Genomic DNA, 18,858 nt, shown 5'->3' with positions numbered 1-18,858 from the left:
AAACTCCATCTCGGGGGAAAAAAAAAATGTCATCCTACTCTGCTAGACAAATTACATGGAAAGGCCACGTGGACAGGGAGAGAACTTGGACTACAGGGAGAGAGACCCAGTTCTTTCAGCGGAACCAGCCCCCACTTGTTGCTATGACCACTGGCAAGACCAGCAGAACGGGTGGGCTAATCCCAGCCCAGATTGCAGAACTGTGAGCAAGTAAAATGGTGGTTGTTTTAAGTCTTACGTTTTGGGGCGGTTTGTTACACAACAGATTATGAAAACACCTCCTCAGCTTTCCTTGGGTGACTACTGGTACTCACTTGTGTATAAGTCTCCATTCCTTAATCCTTACTATCTCCCAATTTTATGGTAATAGTTTGCCAGAAGCGTTCACATTAACGACGAGGACGTAGGCAGGCCCCCCCTTTTTTTTTTTTTTTTGAGACAGAGTCTTGCTCTTTCGCTCAGGCTGGAGTGCAGTGGTGCGATCTTGGCTCACTGCAACCTCCGCTTCCCGGATTCAAGCGATTCTCCTGCCTCAGCCTCCCGAGTAGCTGGGATTACAGGCGCCCGCCACCACGCCCGGCTAATTTTTGTATTTTTAGTAGAGACGGGGTTTCACCATGTTGTCCAGGCTGGTCTTGAACTCCTGACCTCAGGTGATCTGCCCGCCTCAGCCTCCCAAAGTGCTGGGATTACAAGCGTGAGCCGCCGCGTCCGGCCGGATCCTCAGTTCTTTCGCTGTAAACGAGAGTACTCTTCCCCAACCCACAGGCTTATATCTCTTACAATTCAGTGAGTGAGACATCGGCTGAGGACACACCTGTTGCACAAAAAGGGCTCACTGCACGCCATCACACCCAAGTCTCGTACCCTCATCTTCATAACCTGCCCAATCCCAGTGAGTGTGAGAGGTAAGTCTGCAGCAGGGCCCGGAAAACTTGTTTCTTTTTCTTTTAAATAAGTTTTCTCGCGAATTCGAACGCATGTCCTCCTCCTGCCATACCTCAAAGGACTCCGCTCGTCACCACGCCCCCGCGCCTTCTGTTAGGAGCAGCAAACCCCAGGTGTCGCGAGGGTTTCTTCTTTCTTCAAGATCAGCCACAGGTCGCGCGAGAGGGATGTGTCCAATCACGAGGCTAGATGGCTTCACAAGATGGCGGCGCGCTGGGAGCGTATCATCTGCGTTTCTAGGAGCTTCGCTATGCGGCTGCTTTAAGATTCTAGGGTTGTACAGGCCCACGCCAGACACGACGTCTGGCAGGAACCTCGGCCTCAGAGGTGGGTCACTTATATCTCTCACGCAGATTTACTATCATGGGTCACTTAACCCGTGGATCACACGGGTTCCTCATTCTTGAGTTTTGGGCTAGTGAGGTGCCGACTTCGGGGTCTAGGAGGGGAGACCTGATGTGGCTGTGTGTGCGCACGCGGGGGTGTTGAGAGTGGATGAGTGGGAGGAGTTGGCGAATAGAATAGAGACTAGGACTGAAGTAGGAAAGACTCCCCGGTGTTTAGGAGGTTTAGAGAGATCCAAAACTGAGGCGGGAAGACAAACTGAGCTGATAAAATGAGGGCATGGAAAGAACGGCAGTGGCAGGACTAGTGGGAAACGTCGGATTTATGAGAGAAGGCGAAGAGAGAAGATGTAGATTGGTGTGGAAGTGGGAGGGATCTGTGCAGAAAGAATTTGAAGTTCTGAAATTGGAATTTAGACTGTTTTACAGGCTGTGTATCAAGAGAGTGGTAGTTGAAGAGGGTTAATGGTCAAGAGGAACCAAGGAAACAGAAGCATGGAGATGAGAAAGAAAAAAAAAAAAAGGGAAAGCCTCATTCTCAGGGTTCTACTATTAACTGTGGCTTTCTGGACTGACTCAAGTAACCGGGAAGAAAAGTTCCAGTCCATGGGCTGAGCTTTTTTTGAAACTCAGTGAGGGTGCTTTGTGTCGGTGGTCCAGACAGGGAAGAGTTCTATCGTGGTTTCAATCAACAAATACTTGAGTGCCTACTCTCTTAGGCCCTATTTTAGGCGTTGGGATATGCGGTGAACAAGACAGACAAAATATTTACCCTCTTGAAACTTACTGACGGGAGATTTTTTAAAGTAAGTAAAATATATGGAATGCCAGATGGGTAAATTCTGTGTAGAAAATTGAAGCTAGAGCCTGGGTAGCAAAGCCAGACTCCCTTTCTACAAAAAATGAAGTAAATTAACCAGGTGCAGTGCTCTGTACCTGTAGTCCCAGCTGCTTGGGAGGCTCAGGCGGGAGGATTGCTTGATCTCAGGAGTTGGAGGCTGCAGGGAGCTATGATTCCATCATTGCACTCTGGGCAACAGAATGGAAGACCTTGTCTCAACAAGAAGAAAAAAAAAAGAATTGATGCCCAGTTAAACTCTGAAGAATAGGTTATATTTAGCTAAGAACTCATTGCCTATATTGGGAGGTTAGTTAGAAAAGAAGTGGTTGTATTTACTCATTCTGTATCTGTTCTGACCAGAAAAGTTGAATAATGTAGGAAATGAATCGAATCTGCCATGTCTGTAATTTAATTTGTTTCACATATATTCAGAGTATTATGTTGTGTGTGCACTGATGTCAGCTATGTAGTCTGTAGAATTTTCCTTAATGTGTGGCAGAGCCCTAACATGCCACTGTCTCTTGAAGTCACTGTTAGGATATGGTGACTAAAGTCAGCAACAATGTATATTTCAAAATAGCTAGGAGAGGGCTTGAAATGTTACCAATACATAGATATAAAAAATACTCAAAGTGGTGAATACCCCATATACTCTGACTTGATCAGCACACATTCTATGCGTGGAACAAATACCGCATAAATGTCACATGTCCCCCATAAATTGGGAAAATATTTTCCATCAGTTTAAAGAAATTACTCTTAGTTTACTTTTTTTTGTTGCTTGCCAGAATCACAAGAAAGAACATTTTCTTTTTCTTTTTTTTTTTTGAGACAGTTTCACTGTCACCAAGGCTGGAGTGCAGTAGCACGATCTTGGCTCACTGCAACCTCCACCTCCTGGGTTCAAGTGATTCTCCTGCCTCAGCCTCCCGAGTAGCTGGGATTACAGGCACCCACCACCACGCCCAGCTAATTTTTTTTTTTTTTTTGAGACGGAGTGTTGCTCTGTCACCAGGCTGGAGTGCAGTGGCGTGATCTTGGCTCACTGCAACTTCGGCCTCCTGAATTCAAGTGATTCTCCTGCCTCAGCCTCCCAAGTAGCTGGGACTTCAGGCACATGCCACCACACCCAGCTAATTTTTGTATTTTTAGTAGAGATAGGGTTTCACTATGTTGGCCAGGATGGTCTCCATGTTGGCCAGGCTGGTCTCACAAACTCCTGACCTCAGGTGATCCTCCAGTCTTGGCCTCCGAAAGTGTTGGGATTATAGTCGTGAGCGACTGTGCCCGGCCAACACTTTAATTTTGGATATTTTCTTTTTAATAAAGTCTATTATTTGTATTTGTTTATTTTGAGACAGGGTCTCACTGTGTGGCCCAGGCTGGACTGGAACTCCTGGGCTCAAGCTATCCTTGGCATCCCTAGTAGCTAGGAACACAGGCATGCACCACCTTGCCCAGTTGATGTTTTCTTGAGAACTGGGGGCCATCCTAGTTTTATGCTCCCCTCTTTCCTGATGGTCAGTAAAGGGTATGTCAATGCTAGGAAATTAAGACAGGTATATAGTCATTTTTAGTCATAGTGTGAGGGGCAAAATGTAGTAACAGTATGCTGAAAAACTTTCAGGTGACTACTAATCCCCTCAAATTCTGAATTGTTTACTCAAAAAATATTTATTGTATACAGGTTGCTGGGGGTATAGTAAAGACTAGGATGGATATGGTTGCAGGTCTATGTGTGACATATGCAAATTAATTACACACCCAGTAGTAAACTGAAGATCTCTGAGGGAGAAGCAGCACAGGGTGCTTTGAAAGCGTGTAGATGGGCATCTGATTGGATTGTGGGGTCAGAGAAAGGCTGCCTGAGTAAATGATGCCTAGGGTGTGATTTGAGTAGCTAGTGGACCTTCAGAGGTGAAAGGCGATGGTGGGAGGTTGAGGAGAGTCTTACAGGCAGTAAGAATAGGAGATGGTGAGACAGACTACCATGCAGCAGAGAAAATGGAAGAAGACCAGTATGTCTGGAAGGGGAAAGTGGCAACAAATGAAGTTGGAGGGACAGATAAGGCCTGGATTATGCCTGCCTTTTTAATGATTTTAGACTTTTTTAGCTTAATAGCTTTGGGATGCCACTGAAGGGATTTAATAAGGAAATGTTCACATTTGCATGGGGGGAGTGGCTTGTCTGCTGAGTGAAAAGTGGCTGGTAGAGGGCAAGAGTGTTTATGAAGAGATCAGTTTGAGACTCTTAGAGCAACCCAAGAAAGACATGATAATGACCTGGGCCAGAGAGGTGGTGTTGTGAAGGGTGAAAAGTGGGATAAGGTCAAGAAATAATTGGGAGATGGAGTATTCAGGACCTGGTGTGTTGTGAATGGGGGAGGCAGCATGGAGAAGGTGTTGAAGATTTTTGATGTGTTTATCACAAGAAAGATAGCAGTGCATTTGGTGAGATAGGGAAGATGAGAAGGACCAGTTTGGGGTGGGTAGAAGTGATTTAATTTTGCACATATTGTACATGTATTTTTGAGCCCTTCAAGTGAGAAATATGGTAGGCAGTTGGATATGTGATTTGGAAAAGTCTGGAATGAAGACAACAGTTCTTTTCTGAAATTGGTTTAATTTCCAGTGTAGGAAGCTGTCAAAAAACCATCTGAAATAGCATTGACAGATTTATGACTATGTAAAATTATGTCTCTAACAAAGATTGCAAAAGAAAAATATTTATTGCTAGGAGATGTTATAATAGAGGATTTGTCTTTTTTTTTTTTTTTATTGATCATTCTTGGGTGTTTCTCGCAGAGGGGGATTTGGCAGGGTCACAGGACAATAGTGGAGGGAAGGTCAGCAGATAAACAAGTGAACAAAGGTCTCTGGTTTTCCTAGGCAGAGAACCCTGCGGCCTTCCGCAGTGTTTGTGTCCCTGGGTACTTGAGATTAGGGAGTGGTGATGACTCTTAAGGAGCATGCTGCCTTCAAGCATCTGTTTAACAAAGCATATCTTGCACCACCCTTCATCCATTCAACCCTGAGTGGACACAGCACATATTTCAGAGAGCACAGGGTTGGGGGTAAGGTCACAGATCAACAGGATCCCAAGGCAGAAGAATTTTTCTTAGTACAGAACAAAATGAAAAGTCTCCCATGTCTACCTCTTTCTACACAGCCACGGCAACCATCCGATTTCTCAATCTTTTCCCCACCTTTCCCCCTTTTCTATTCCACAAAACCGCCATTGTCATCATGGCCCATTCTCAATGAGCTGTTGGGTACACCACCCAGACGGGGTGGTGGCCGGGCAGAGGGGCTCCTCACTTCCCAGTAGGGGCGGCCGGGCAGAGGCGCCCCTCACCTCCCGGATGGGGCGGCTGGCCGGGCGGGGGGCTGACCCCCCCACCTCCCTCCCGGACAGGGCGGCTGTCCGGGCAGAGGGGCTCCTCACTTCCCAGTAGGGGCGGCCGGGCAGAGGCACCCCTCACCTCCCGGATGGGGCGGCTGGCCGGGCTGGGGGCTGACCCCCCCACCTCCCTCCCGGACGGGGTGGCTGGCTGGGTGGGGGGCTGACCCCCCCACCTCCCTCCTGGATGGGGTGGCTGGCCGGGCAGAGGGGCTCCTCTCTTCCCAGTAGAGGCGGCCGGGCAGAGGCGCCCCTCACCTCCCGGTCGGGGCGGCTGGCCGGGCGGGGGGCTGACCCCCTCACCTCCTTCCCGGACGGGGCGGCTGGCCGGGCAGAGGGGCTCCTCACTTCGCAGTAGGGGCGGCCGGGCAGAGGTGCCCCTCACCTCCTGGACGGGGCGGCTGGCCAGGCGGGGGGCTGACCCCCACCTCCCTCCCGGACGGGGTGGCTGCCGGGTGGAGACGATCCTCACTTCCCAGACGGGGTGGCTGCCGGGCGGAGGGGCTCCTCACTTCTCCGACGGGGCGGTTGCCAGGCAGAGGGTCTCCTCACTTCTCAGACGGGGCGGCCGGGCAGAGATGCTCCTCACATCCCAGACGGGGCGGCAGGGCAGAGGCGCTCCCCACATCTCAGATGATGGGCGGCCGGGCAGAGACGCTCCTCACTTCCTAGATGGGATGGCGGCCGGGCAGAGACGCTCCTCACTTTCCAGACTGGGCAGCCAGGCAGAGAGGCTCCTCACATCCCAGATGATGGGCGGCCAGGCAGAGACGCTCCTCACTTCCCAGACGGGGTGGCGGCTGGGCAGAGGCTGCAATCTCGGCACTTTGCGGGGCCAAGGCAGGCAGCTGGGAGGTGGAGGTTGTAGCGAGCCGCGATTACGCCACTGCACTCCAGCCTGGGCACCATTGAGCACTGAGTGAACGCAACTCCGTCTGCCATCCCGGCACCTTGGGAGGCCGAGGCTGGCGGATCACTCGCGGTTAGGAGCTGGAGACCAGCCCGGCCAACACAGCGAAACCCCGTCTCCACCAAAAAAATACGAAAACCAGTCAGGCGTGGCGGCGTGCGCCTGCAATCGCAGGCACTCGGCAGGCTGAGGCAGGAGAATCAGGCAGGGAGGTTGCAGTGAGCCGAGATGGCAGCAGCACAGTTCAGCTTCGGCTCGGCATCAGAGGGAGACCGTGGCAAGAGGGGGAGAGGGAGAGGGAGAGGGAGACCGTGGGGAGAGGGAGAGGGAGGGGGAGGGGGAGGGAGAGGGAGAGGATTTGTCTTAACTGGGGAGATTAGGGAAGGAAAGATCTTCCTGAAGAAGAGGTGCTTGAACTGTGAGCCCAAGAATGACTAAGAATTTGCCGACTGAAGAGAGGGAGGAAAAAACGTTACAGATAAAAAGAATAACCTGCATAGGAGGCTGAGGCAGGAGAATCGCTTGAACCCGGGAGGCAGACGTTGCAGTGAGCCAAGATTGCGCCACTGCACTCCAGCCTGGTGACAGAGGGAGACTCTGTCTCAAAAAAAAAAGAATAGCCTGCATAAAGGTCCTGTGGTCAGGGTAGAAGGACACAAAGAGCAAGGGCATGTGACTTAAACTGATGGTGAAAAGATAGGCAAGGCCAGGTCATGTAGTGCCTTGCATGTAGGCTGAAGTGATGTTTTTTTATTTTATCCTAAGAGTAAGGTTTTGAGCAGGTGGACATAGGAGAAGGACATACTGAGATTTGTGTTTGGAAATGATCACTACGAGGTGGAAGGAGGGATGGTGAGAACAAGAGTGGATGCAGGGAGACCAATTAAGAGGCTACTGTAAACCAGGTGCGGTGGTGCACACCTGTAGTCTCAGCCATTTGGGAGCCCGAGGTGGGAGGATTGCTTAAGCTCAGGAGTTCAAGTCTGGCCTGGGCAATGTAGTCTCTAAGGAAATAAAAGTAAGTAAATAAAAAGGCTGTTCTGGCCGGGCGTGGTGGCTTACAACTATAATCCTAGCACTTTGGGAGGCTGAGGTGGCAGGATTGCTTGAGGCCAGGAGTTCAATACCAACCTGGCCAACATAACGAAACCATGTATCTAAAAAAAAAAAAAAAAAAAAAAAAAAAAAAAAAAAATGCCTCTGGGCTTGACATTGTTGGGGACAGGGAAAAAGAGTGGATTTAAGAGGTATTTAGCAGGTAAAACCTACAGAAGTGGTGATTTCTTGGATATGAGAAACTATCAACTGACTCCTAGATTTTTGGCTAACATAATATTGTTTAGAAGAATAATCATTATTTAAAAGGTAAAAAATAAAGATATTAAGAAAATAAAAGTCACTTGCCACCCAGAGAGAGATATATATATATATAATAGTAAAATATTTTTTAAATTACCAACTACCTGGAGATTTACTAAACCATTATAATAGTTTCTCTTTCAGTGTTTATGTCTTGATATAAGTACATTTGCTTTTATTTCTTGTTGTAATCTGGAAGAAGACAAAATTATGTTCGTTTTCATTTGGTTTTAGCTACCTAGGAATGACAAGATTGAAACTTTAAGTTGGAATCAAAGATATTTTTTCAAAGTTTGGTGATGTTATGGTACACTACCAAATATTCAGTCCTTGTAAGGATACTGTAAAAACTAACCCCCAAGCTGGGTGTGATGGTTCATGTCTGTAGTCGTAGCACTTTGGGAGGCTGAGGCAGGAGGATCACTTGAGCTCAGGAGTCGGAAACCAATCTGGGCAACAAAGGGAGACCCTGTCTCTACAAAAAATAAAATTAAAAATAAATTAGCCAGGCGTGGTGGCATGGTGGCACATACCTATAGTCCCAGCTACTCGGGAGGCTGAGGTGGAAGGACTGTTTGAGCATGGGAGATTGAGGCTGCAGTGAGGTATGATTGTGCTACTGCACTCCATCCTGGATGACAGAGTGAGACACTGTCTCAGAACAAACAAAACAAGACAAAACAAAACACAACTAACCTCTAACTAATATCCTTGGTTATAGATCATATATACAGACTGTGTTCTGTCACTTTGATGCTCTTAAAGGAATACTTTTCAGCTTTCTTCCCTTGATTTAAAAAAAAAGACTCACTCTTACGTTGTCTGCATTTTTAAAATCATGGAAAAATATACATAACATAAAATTTACCATTTTAGCCATTTTTAAGTGTACCATTCAGTGACATTAAATGTGTTCATTCTCTTGTGCAACCATCACCTCTATCTCCAGAACTTTGTCATCATTCCAAAGTGAAACTCTGTACCTATTAAACAGTAACTCCTCATTCTTCCCTCCCCAGCTCCTCATCACCTCTATTCCACTCTCCATCTGTGTAATAAATTTACCTCTACTGGGTGCCTCATATAAGTGAAAGCATACAATATTTGTCCTTTTGTGTGTGGTTTATTTCCCTTAGCATGGTGTTTTCAGGGTTCTTCCATGTTGTAGCATGTATCAGAATTTCATTTCTTCTTAGGGCTGCATAATATTTATTGTATGTATATACCGTATTTTCTTGATCCATATTTATTGTATGGATATACCATATTTTGTTGATCATATGTATTGTATGGGTATATCGTATTTTGTTGATCCATATTTATTGTATGGATATACCGTATTTTGTTGATCCATATTTAGTGTGTGGATATACCGTATTTTGTTGATCCATATTTAGTGTGTGGATATACCGTATTTTGTTGATCCATATTTACTGTATGGATATACCATGTTTTGTTTATCCATATTTATTGTATGGATATACTGTATTTTGTTTATCCATATTTATTGTATGGATATACCATATTTTGTTGATCCATATTTATTGTATGGATATACCATCTTTTGTTGATCCATATTTATTGTATGGATATACCATGTTTTGTTAATCTATATTTATTGTATGGATTACTGTATTTTGTTGATCCATATTTAGTGTATGGATATACTGTATTTCATTGACCCATATTTATTTTATGGATATACTGTATTTTGTTGACCCATATTTAGTGTATGGATATACCGTATTTTGTTGACCCATATTTATTGTATGGATATACTGTATTTTGTTGACCCATATTTAGTGTATGGATATACCGTATTTTGTTGATCCATATTTAGGGTATGGATATACCGTATTTTGTTGACCCATATTTATTATATGGATATACCGTATTTTCATATTTAGTGTATGGATATACTGTATTTTGTTGATCCATATTTAGGGTATGGATATACTGTATTTTGTTGATCCATATTTAGTGTATGGATATACTGTATTTTGTTGGTCCACATTCATCTGCTGATGGACACTCAGATTGTTTCCCACCTTTTCACTCTTGGGAATGATACTACTATGAACACTGCTGTACAAATATCTGTTTCAGTTCCTCCTTTCAGTTCTTTTGGGAATATACCTAGGAGTGGAATTGCTGAATCAGATAGTAATTCTATGTTTAGCTTTTTAAAGAACCGCCAAGCGTTTTTCGACAGCAGCTGTGCCATTTCACATTCCCAACAGCAATGCATGAGAACTCCAATTTCTTCACATCCTTGCAGAACACTCGTTGTTTCTGTTTTTTTAATTTTTTATTTTTGTTTTTTTGTTGACAGCAGCCATCCTAGTGGGTATGAAGTGGTGTCTCACGTGGTTTTGATTTGTATTTCCCTGATGACTAATGATGTTCACCATCTCTTCATGTGCTTATTTGTTGTATGCATTTTAAAAATGTGATTTCTACTTTCTCACTTGATCGGCAAAGACATGTTGGCTGTAACTATTAACTTGGCATCCACAGCTTTCCCCACTGATTTTTTTTTTTTTGAGACGGAGTTTCGCTCTTGTTGCCCAGGCTGGAGTGCAATGGCGTGATCTCGGCTCACTGCACCCTCCACCTCCTGGGTTCAAGCAATTCTCCTGCCTCAGCCTCCCAAGTAGCTGGGATTACAGGCTCCCGCCACCATGCTCGGCTACTTGGCTACTTTTTGTATTTTTAGTAGAGACGGGCTTTCATCCCATCATGTTGGCCAGGATGGGATGGTCTTGAACTCCTGAATCAGGTGATCTACTTACCTTGGCCTCCCAAAGTACTGGGATTAGAGGCATGAGGCACCGCACCCGGCCCCCATTAATGGTTTTTAATAAATATGCTGATTTTCTTTCTCTCTTTCTCTCCTTAAGATGGCTCTGAGTAAATCAATGCATGCAAGAAATAGATACAAGGACAAACCTCCTGACTTTGCATATCTGGCATCCAAATATCCAGATTTTAAGCAGCATGTTCAGATAAATCTGAATGGAAGAGTGAGGTAGGTAACGGATGAAAAATCACTGTTATTCTTGTGTGATTCAAATGGATATGATGTAATAGAAAGCCCACCTGAGTGTTAATCTTAGACATTTGATTAAACGTCCCATGCGACCTTGGACAAATCACTTAACCTCTCTTGGTCTCAGCTTTTTAATGTATAACATTAGAGGAATGGACCAGATGCTTTTAAGTTTCCTTCTGGCTTAAAAAAAAATTCTCTTGATGTCCAAATTGTTGCTTACCCTACGGAAATCCCAGAGTAACTTCAGAGATTTACGATTGTGCTCTTTGTGATCTAAAACTTAGTGACTGGTGAGGATCTAAACACTTTTTTTTTTTTTTTTGAGACAAAGTCTCGCTCTGTTGCCCAGGCTAGAGTACAGTGGCATGATCTCGGCTCACTGCAACCTCTGCCTCCCAGGTTCAAGTGATTCTCCTGCCTCAGCCTCCTGAGTAGCTGGGATTACAGGCGCCCGCCACCACACTCAGCCAACGTCTGTATTTTTAGTAGAGACGGGGTTTCACCATGTTGGTCAGACTGGTCTGGAACTCCTGACCTCGTGATCCGCCCACCTTGGCCTCCCAAAGTGCTGGGATTACAGGTGTGAGCCACTGTGCCTGGCCTAAAGATATTTTAATAAGTGTGTGTTTATTTTGATGTGAGGCAGGAAAATAATAACCAGGACATCAGGACTGATTTCACAGATATTATTATTTAAGATGTTACTAAATTTAAGAAGTTGATTTATTTTTATTTATTTATTTTGTTTTTAGAGATAGGATCTTGCTCTGTTGCCCAAGCTGGAGTGCAGTGGCACAGTCATAGCTTGTGATAGCATTGAACTCCTGGGCTCAAGCTGTCTTCCTGCCCCAGCCTCCCCAGATAAAAATAGCCAAGTGTGCCCTACCATGCTTAGCTATTTTTATTTTTATTTTTGTAGAGACAAGGTCTTGTCATATTGCCCAGGCTGGTCTCAAACGCCTAGATTCAAGTGGTCCTCCCTCCTTTGCCTCCCAAGGTTCTGAGATTACAGCCACCACACCAAGCCAGAAAGTTGATTTTTTATTTTTACTTTATTTTATTTTTTTGAGACGGAGTCTCTGTTGCCCAGGGTGGAGTACAGTGGTGCAGTCTCGCCTCACTGCAACCTCTGCCTCCTGAGTTCAAGCAATTCTCCTGTCTCAGCCTCCTGAGTAGCTGGGACTACAGGCCTCTACCACCACGCCTGGCTAATTTTTGTATTTTTAGTAGGGACAGAGTTTCACCATGTTGGCCAGACTGGTCTTGAACTCCTGGCCTCAGGTGATCCGCCCGCCTTGGCTTCCCAAAGTGCTGGGATTACAGGTGTGAGCCATGTGCCCGGCCTTGATTTTTTTAAATTAAGAAAATAATAGTATAAGTGTTTCAGGAAATGGCAAAATTATGATAACTATATGGGAATGACTGATGTGTCTTTTATACCTCTGAGAAAGAACTATCTCTAACTGCATTCCTCAACTCTGCGAGTTACAGAGGGAATTGGAAATTCCCAGCCTGCCTGGAGAGAGGCGTGGTGATTCAGCTATGGGAAGGAAGAGGAGCAGGATTAGAGGAGAAAAAGGAAGGGAAAGAATAATAGTGGCCGGGCGCGGTGGCTCACGCCTGGAATCCCAGCACTTTGGGAGGCCAAGGTGGGCGGATCACTTGAGGTCAGGAGTTTGAGACCAGCCTGACCAACAGGGTGAAAACCTCATCTCTACTAAAAATACAAAAATGAGCTGGGTGTGGTGGCGCAAGCCTGTAATCCCAGCTACTCCGGAGGCTGAGTGAGGCAGGAGAATCACTTGAACCTGAGAGGTGGAGGTTGCAGTGAGCCGAGATTGTGCCACTGCACTCCAACCTGGGTGACAGACTGAGACTCCATCTCAAAAAAAAAAGAAAAAAGAAAAAAAGAAGATTAGGATCATAGGGCTTGAGGCATTTTCTTCACCTCTTCTTTACTCTAAGCCCTCTTCTTATAGCTTTAGAAATGGAGGCCCTGGGGCAAGACTTAACCTGGAAGCCAAGATAACCCTTAAAATCATACAGGAGTTCAAACAAATATTTATGTTCATTTTTCTGACAGATAATCCTTAGCTGTCATCACATTCTCAAAGGGATCTGTGAAACTCTCCACCCACACCCAAGTATAAGGGTTAAGATCACTTTGGGAGGCCGAGGTGGGCAGATCACCTGAAGTTAGGAGTTCAAGACCAGCCTGGCCAACAAAGCAAAACCCTGTCTCTATTAAAAATACAAAAAATTAGCTGGGTGTGGTGATGCACACTATAGTCACAGCTACTCAGGAGACTGAGGAGGGAGAATTGCTTGAACTGGGGAGGCGGAGGTTTTAGTGAACCGAGATCATGCCACTGCACTTCAGCCTGGGCAACAGAATGAGACTCTATCTCAAAAAAATAGAATAAATTGAGCACAGCCTATATGTGAATGCTTGTACTACTTACTGTGTTAATATATTAAGTACATTTGAAAACATATTTCAAAATAGAAATTAAAAATATATTTAAATAGGACTTCAGGTATTTTCTTTGGATACCATAATCACCTTTGGCACCTTACTTTGGAGTCACTTACCCTAAAGAGATTGAATTGGGATTTCTCTGTTTATAACATCTCTCTCATTGTTTGTAAGTCATTGTTTCATAGTGATATACGTGGATGTTGATCCTAGTAGCTTTAGGAAAGATACCATTTTAGTGGGGTGCAACACTGTGCATCTGTAGTCCCAGCTACATGAGAGGCTGAGGTGAGAGGATCTTGAGTCCAGGAGTCTGAATCCAGCCTGGGCAACATAGCGAAATCCTGTAATTAAAAAAAAAAAAAAAAAAAAGATATAGTTTTGTCATTGTTTGTTTCCTCTCTATACTTACTATTGTACTTAATCAGCTATTTAACAAAAACCTATTGATTAGCCACATTGTGCTCAGTTCTAGGAAAGCCTTAAAAAACAAGAAAGATGTCACTGCCACAGTCACACGCTAGTTTATACACTAGTGGGGAAAATGGACAAATACATAAGCCGTTAACCTTTTAGTATGGGAGAATCCGGGGGATGTGCAGTGGGATCACATGAAAAGGAGACCGTACCCTGACTTTGGGATTTAGAGAATGATTTGAAACCGAAATGGTCTCTTGGTTGTGTTTTAAGGAATGAGTGGAGTGAGCCAGGTAGAAAGAAGAGTATTCCAGGCAGAGGCAGCAGCATGTGCAAAGAATACTGGGCAGAGGGGAACTGAAGAAGTGAAGCGTGGCTGGGGTGCAGTGGACAAGAGACAGGAGGAGGTGGGCTGGGGATGGTTATACTTTGTGGTGCTTTATAAGGCCCACTGAGGAGTTTGAAATTTTTCTTAAGGGCGTGGTATGGAGGATTCTTGTGCCTTGCCCATCCCCATCCTCATCCACTAAAGTTTTATATTATTTTCTGAGACACAGTCTTGCTCTGTTGCCCAGGCTGGAGTGCAGTAATGTCATCTTGGTTCACTGCAACCTCCGCCTCCTGGGTTCAAACGATTCTCCTGTCTCAGCCTCCTGAGTAGCTGGGATTACAGGCTCGCACCACCACGGCCATCTAATTTTTGTATTTTTAGTAAAGACGGAGTTTCAACATGTTGGCCAGGCTGGTCTCAGAACTCCTGACTTCAAGTGATCTGCCCACCTCAACCTCCCAAAGTACTGGGATTACAGGCGTGAGCCACCGCGCCCAGCTGATGGTTAGGATTTTTAAGATTTTTGTTTTGTTTTGCATTGTTTGGAGACAGAGTCTTGCTCTGTCACCAGGCTGGAGTGCAGTGGCGCTGTCTCGGCTCACCGCAAGCTCTGCCTCCCGGGTTCAAGAGATTCTCCTGCCTCAACCTCCTGAGTAGCTGGGACTACAGGCACATGCCACCATGCCCAACTAATTTTTGTATTTTTAGTAGAGACGGGGTTTCACTATGATGGGCAGGATGGTCTCGATCTCTTTTTTTTTTGAGATGGAGTCTTACTCTGTCGCCCAGGCTGGAGTGCAGTGGCGCGATCTCGGCTCACTGCAAGCTCTGCCTCCCGGGTTCACGCCATTCTCCTGCCTCAGCCTCCTGAGTAGCTGGGACTACAGGTGCCCGCCACCACGCCCTGCTAATTTTTTGTATTTTTAGTAGAGATGGGGTTTCACCGTGTTAGCCACGATGGTCTCGATCTCCTGACCTCGTGATCTGCCCACCTCAGCCTCCCAAAGTGCTGGGATTACAGGCGTGAGCCACCGCGCCGGGCCTAAGAGGTATATTTTTTAAAAGGCCAAGCGCAGTGCCTCATACCTGCAGTCACAGCACTTTCAGAGGCTGAGGCAGGAGGACTGCTTGAGCCCAGGGGGTCAAGGCTGCAGTGAACCATGATCGCGCCACTGCACTCCAGCCTAGGCAACAGAGCAAGACCTTGTTTCCAAAAAAAACCTGTCAGTCTGAAGCAGACCTAACAGATGTGTTTTTACAACATATCTAAAGGTACCTGGCAAGTCACAAACATTGAGTTAATATTTGTTGACTGCATGAGAATAATTTCTCTATTAAATGATATGCCAGGCCGGGCATAGTGGCTCATGCCTATATTCCCAGCACTTTGAGAGGCCAGCGAATGGCTTGAGCTCAGAAGTTTGAGATCATCCTGGGCAACATGGAGAGACCCCTTCTCTGCTAAAAGTACAAAAATGAGCCGGGCGTGGTGGCATATGCCTGTAATCTCAGCTACTCAGAAGGCTGAGGCACGAGAATCGCTTGAGCTTGAGAGGTAGAGGTTGCAGTGAGCTGAGATTGTGCCACTACACTCCAGCCTGGGCGACAGAGTGAGATCCTATCTCAAAAAAAAAAAAAAAAAAAAAAAAAGGCCGGGTGCAGTGGCGCACGCCTGTAAACCCAGCACTTTGGGAGGCCAAGGTGGGCGGATCACCTGAGGTCAGGAGTTCGAGACCAGTCTGGCCAACATGGTGAAACCCCGTCTCTACTAAAAATACAAAAATAAGCCAGGCGTGATGGTGCGCACTTGTGATCCCAGCTACTCGGGAGGCTGAGGCAGGAGAATCGCTTGAACCCAGGAGGTGGAGGTTGCAGTGAGCCGAGATTGTGCCACTGCAGTGCAACCTGGGCAACAGAGCAAGAGTCTGCCTCAAGAAAATAAAAAAGAAAAACAACAACAACAAAACGATATGCCATACATAAGTGGCATGAGACTGGTAATTTATGAAGAACAGAAATTTATTTCTCATAGTCTGGGGGCTGGGAAGTCCAAGAGCAAGGCCCTGGCATCTGGTTAAGGGCCCTTTTGCTGCATCCTCACAGGGTGGAAGGTGGAAGGGGGCAAACCCACTTCTGCAAGCTTTTTTTTAAACAGCAGCATTAATCCATTCATAAGGGCAAAGCCCTCGTGACCTAAACCTCTCCCACTAGGTCCCACCTCCTAACACTGTTGGCATTGGGGATTAGGTTTCCAACAAAGGAATTCTGGGGGACACATTCAGATCATAGCACATACCTAAAACGGAATTACAGAGAAATGAAAGTAAAGGGATGCGCAAAAATAAGTAGGTAAATGAGAGTTCCCCCTAAATCAAATAAAGTAGAAAAGAAGGCAAAAAGCATCAAAATGGAAAATTATGTGGATAAATAACTTTCAGTGAAGATGAAGACTTAGCATTTTGAAAAGTATAGAAATTTTTAAAAACATGTTTGACAGGGTATAGTGGTGCACGTCTGTAATCCCAGCTACTTGGGAGGCTGAGGTGGGGGGATCATTTGATCCCAGGAGTTCAAGGCTGCAGTGAACTTATGATTACACCACTGCACTCCAGCCTGAGCGACAAGGTGAGACCCATCTCTAAAAAACACTGTTTGACGTAATTTGGAACTTTTTTTTAAATATTTCTAACTAAGTAGACAGAAATATACAGAGAAGAGTGAACTTAGGGACTTTGAGAGGATCCATGAATGCCTTGAACACAATTAGATAAAAATACTATTTGTGTAGGATGTTTTTTCTTTTTTTTTGTTTTGTTTTGTGTGTGTGTGTGTGCATGTGTGTTTTGAGACAGAGTCGCTCTGTCACCCTGGCTGCTGGAGTGCAGTGGTGTGGTCTCAGGTCACTGCAACCTCCAGCTCCCAGGTACAAGCAATTCTCCTGCCTCAGCCTCCTGAGTAGCTGGGATTACAGGTGTGCACTGCCACGCCCAAATAATTTTTGTATTTTTTAGTAGAGACAAGGTTTTGCCATGTTGGCCAGGCTGATCTCAAACTGCTGACCTCAAGTGACCCGCCTGCCTCGGCCTCCCAAAGTGCTGGGATTACAGGCGTGAGCCACCGCGCCCGGCCGGTCTTCACTTTTAATTCTAGTTCTCTTGCTATTTTCAGCACATCTGCAGTTACTTCCCATGCTGAAGTCTTGAGCCCGTCAGACTCACCTATGAGGGTTGAAATAATCTTTTTCTTTTTTTTTTTTTTTTTGAGACAGAGTCTTTCTCTGTCACCCAGGCTGGGGTGCAGTGGCCGGATCTCAGCTCACTGCAGCCTCCACCTCCTGGGTTCAAGGGATTCTTCTGCCTCAGCCTCCTGGCTAGCTGGGATTACAGGTGCGCACAACCACACCTGGCTAATTTTTGTATTTTTAGTAGAGACAGTGTTTCACCATGTTAGCCAGGCTGGTCTCGAACTCCTGACCTCGTGATCCGCCCACCTTGGCCTCTCAAAGTGCTGGGATTACAGGCGTGAGCCACCGCACCCAGCCGAAATCATCTTTTTCATATTCGATTAATGTTGATAATGACCTCCTCTCATCAATCCCAAATGTTCTTTTATTTTTTGTGTTTTTGAGACAGGGTCTCACTCTGTTGCCCAGGCTAGAGTGCAGTGGTATAATTGTGGCTCACAGTAGCCTCAACCTCCCCGGGCTCAGGTGATCCTCTTACCTCAGCCTCCCAAGTAGCTGGGACTGGGTGTGTGCTGCCACACCCAGCTAATTTTTTGTCGTTGTTGTTTCACCCCATCTGGTCTTGAACTCCTGGGCTCAAGTGATTTGCCTCTCTCGACCTCTGAAAGTATTGGGATTACAGGCATGAGCCACCATGCCTGGCCAATCCTGAATGTTTTTAATGGCATCTAGAATGCTGAATCTTTTCCAGAAGGTTTTCAATTTACTTTGCCTAGATCTGTCTGAGGAATCACTATCTATGGCCTTAAAATGTTTCTTAAATAATAAGATGTGCAACCTCCGGCTCCCGGGTTCAAACGATTCCTCTGCCTCAGCCTCTCGAGTATCTGGGACTACAGGTGCACGCCACCATGCCTGGCTGTTTTTTTGTATTTTAGTAGAGATGGGGTTTCACCATGTTGGCCAGGATGGTCTCGATCTCCTGACCTCATGATTCGCCTGCCTCAGCCTCCCAAAGTGCTAGGATTACAGGCGTGAGCAACCACGCCCGGCCTTGTTTTTCTTTTTTAGAGAGAGGGTTCCTGTTGCCCAGGCTGGAGTGCAGTGGTAGGATTATAGCTCATTGTAGCCTCAAATTCCTGGGCTCAAGCAATCCTCCTACCTCAGTCTCCTGAGTCACTAAAACAAAAACAAACATACACACACAAAAAAACAAAAAACAAAGACCACTGATCATAAATCACCACAACAAAGTTTGAAATATTGTGAGAGTTACTGACATGTGGCATAGAGACATAAAGTGGGCACGTGCTATTAGAAAAATGGCACCAATACACTTGCTAGATGTAAGATTGCCACAAACATTTGATTTGCTAAAAATACAATGTATATCCCATATACCCCCTAAATATATATACCTACCATGTACCCACAAAAATTAGTAAATCTTGACTGGGCACAGTGGCTCACGCCTGTAATCCCAGCACTTTGGGAGGCCAAGGTGGGTGGATCACTTGAGGCCAGGAGTTTGAGACCAGCCTGGCCAACATGGAGAAACCCCATCTCTACTAAAAATACAAAAATTAACCTCCCAGC

At 45.7% G+C, this 18,858-nt stretch overlaps 1 protein-coding gene across 3 annotated transcripts in view, besides 7 other annotated features; it reads left to right on the top strand.

Annotated features, from left to right (window-relative positions):
- Window positions 946-995: an enhancer, noted in NCBI's record as "active region_11496". NCBI's record gives its function as "activates an Ori minimal core promoter by ATAC-STARR-seq in GM12878 lymphoblastoid cells {active_cell/tissue: GM12878}" and the evidence as "EXISTENCE:reporter gene assay evidence [ECO:0000049][PMID:35858748]".
- Window positions 1,066-1,275: an enhancer, noted in NCBI's record as "active region_11495". NCBI's record gives its function as "activates an Ori minimal core promoter by ATAC-STARR-seq in GM12878 lymphoblastoid cells {active_cell/tissue: GM12878}" and the evidence as "EXISTENCE:reporter gene assay evidence [ECO:0000049][PMID:35858748]".
- The window catches only part of METTL16 (methyltransferase 16, RNA N6-adenosine), a 96,174-nt gene continuing 78,461 nt past the window's right edge, over window positions 1,146-18,858 (top strand). For 2 of the 3 annotated variants that reach the window (XR_007065448.1, NM_024086.4), the window contains exons 1-2: window positions 1,146-1,275; window positions 10,703-10,830. Coding sequence is in view for 1 of the 3 variants with exons in the window: in NM_024086.4 (NP_076991.3) it covers window positions 10,703-10,830 (128 nt within the window). In the remaining 2 variants the exon portion in view is untranslated. The remainder of the gene's footprint in view (window positions 1,276-10,702; window positions 10,831-18,858) is intronic. The other variant, XM_047436697.1, reaches the window with a different exon arrangement.
- Window positions 5,268-6,178: an enhancer, noted in NCBI's record as "H3K27ac-H3K4me1 hESC enhancer chr17:2410150-2411060 (GRCh37/hg19 assembly coordinates)". NCBI's record gives its function as "activates a minimal SCP1, AML or CMV promoter by ChIP-STARR-seq in primed H9 embryonic stem cells {active_cell/tissue: H9 hESC(primed)}" and the evidence as "EXISTENCE:reporter gene assay evidence [ECO:0000049][PMID:30033119]".
- Window positions 6,179-7,090: an enhancer, noted in NCBI's record as "H3K27ac-H3K4me1 hESC enhancer chr17:2409238-2410149 (GRCh37/hg19 assembly coordinates)". NCBI's record gives its function as "activates a minimal SCP1, AML or CMV promoter by ChIP-STARR-seq in primed H9 embryonic stem cells {active_cell/tissue: H9 hESC(primed)}" and the evidence as "EXISTENCE:reporter gene assay evidence [ECO:0000049][PMID:30033119]".
- Window positions 11,410-11,909: an enhancer, noted in NCBI's record as "H3K27ac hESC enhancer chr17:2404419-2404918 (GRCh37/hg19 assembly coordinates)". NCBI's record gives its function as "activates a minimal SCP1, AML or CMV promoter by ChIP-STARR-seq in primed H9 embryonic stem cells {active_cell/tissue: H9 hESC(primed)}" and the evidence as "EXISTENCE:reporter gene assay evidence [ECO:0000049][PMID:30033119]".
- Window positions 11,910-12,411: an enhancer, noted in NCBI's record as "H3K27ac hESC enhancer chr17:2403917-2404418 (GRCh37/hg19 assembly coordinates)". NCBI's record gives its function as "activates a minimal SCP1, AML or CMV promoter by ChIP-STARR-seq in primed H9 embryonic stem cells {active_cell/tissue: H9 hESC(primed)}" and the evidence as "EXISTENCE:reporter gene assay evidence [ECO:0000049][PMID:30033119]".
- Window positions 17,110-17,610: an enhancer, noted in NCBI's record as "H3K4me1 hESC enhancer chr17:2398718-2399218 (GRCh37/hg19 assembly coordinates)". NCBI's record gives its function as "activates a minimal SCP1, AML or CMV promoter by ChIP-STARR-seq in primed H9 embryonic stem cells {active_cell/tissue: H9 hESC(primed)}" and the evidence as "EXISTENCE:reporter gene assay evidence [ECO:0000049][PMID:30033119]".

Source organism: Homo sapiens, chromosome 17, assembly GCF_000001405.40.
Source record: "Homo sapiens chromosome 17, GRCh38.p14 Primary Assembly".
In the NCBI taxonomy this organism is placed as follows: domain Eukaryota; kingdom Metazoa; phylum Chordata; class Mammalia; order Primates; family Hominidae; genus Homo; species Homo sapiens.
This window is presented reverse-complemented; position numbering and strand designations above follow the sequence as displayed.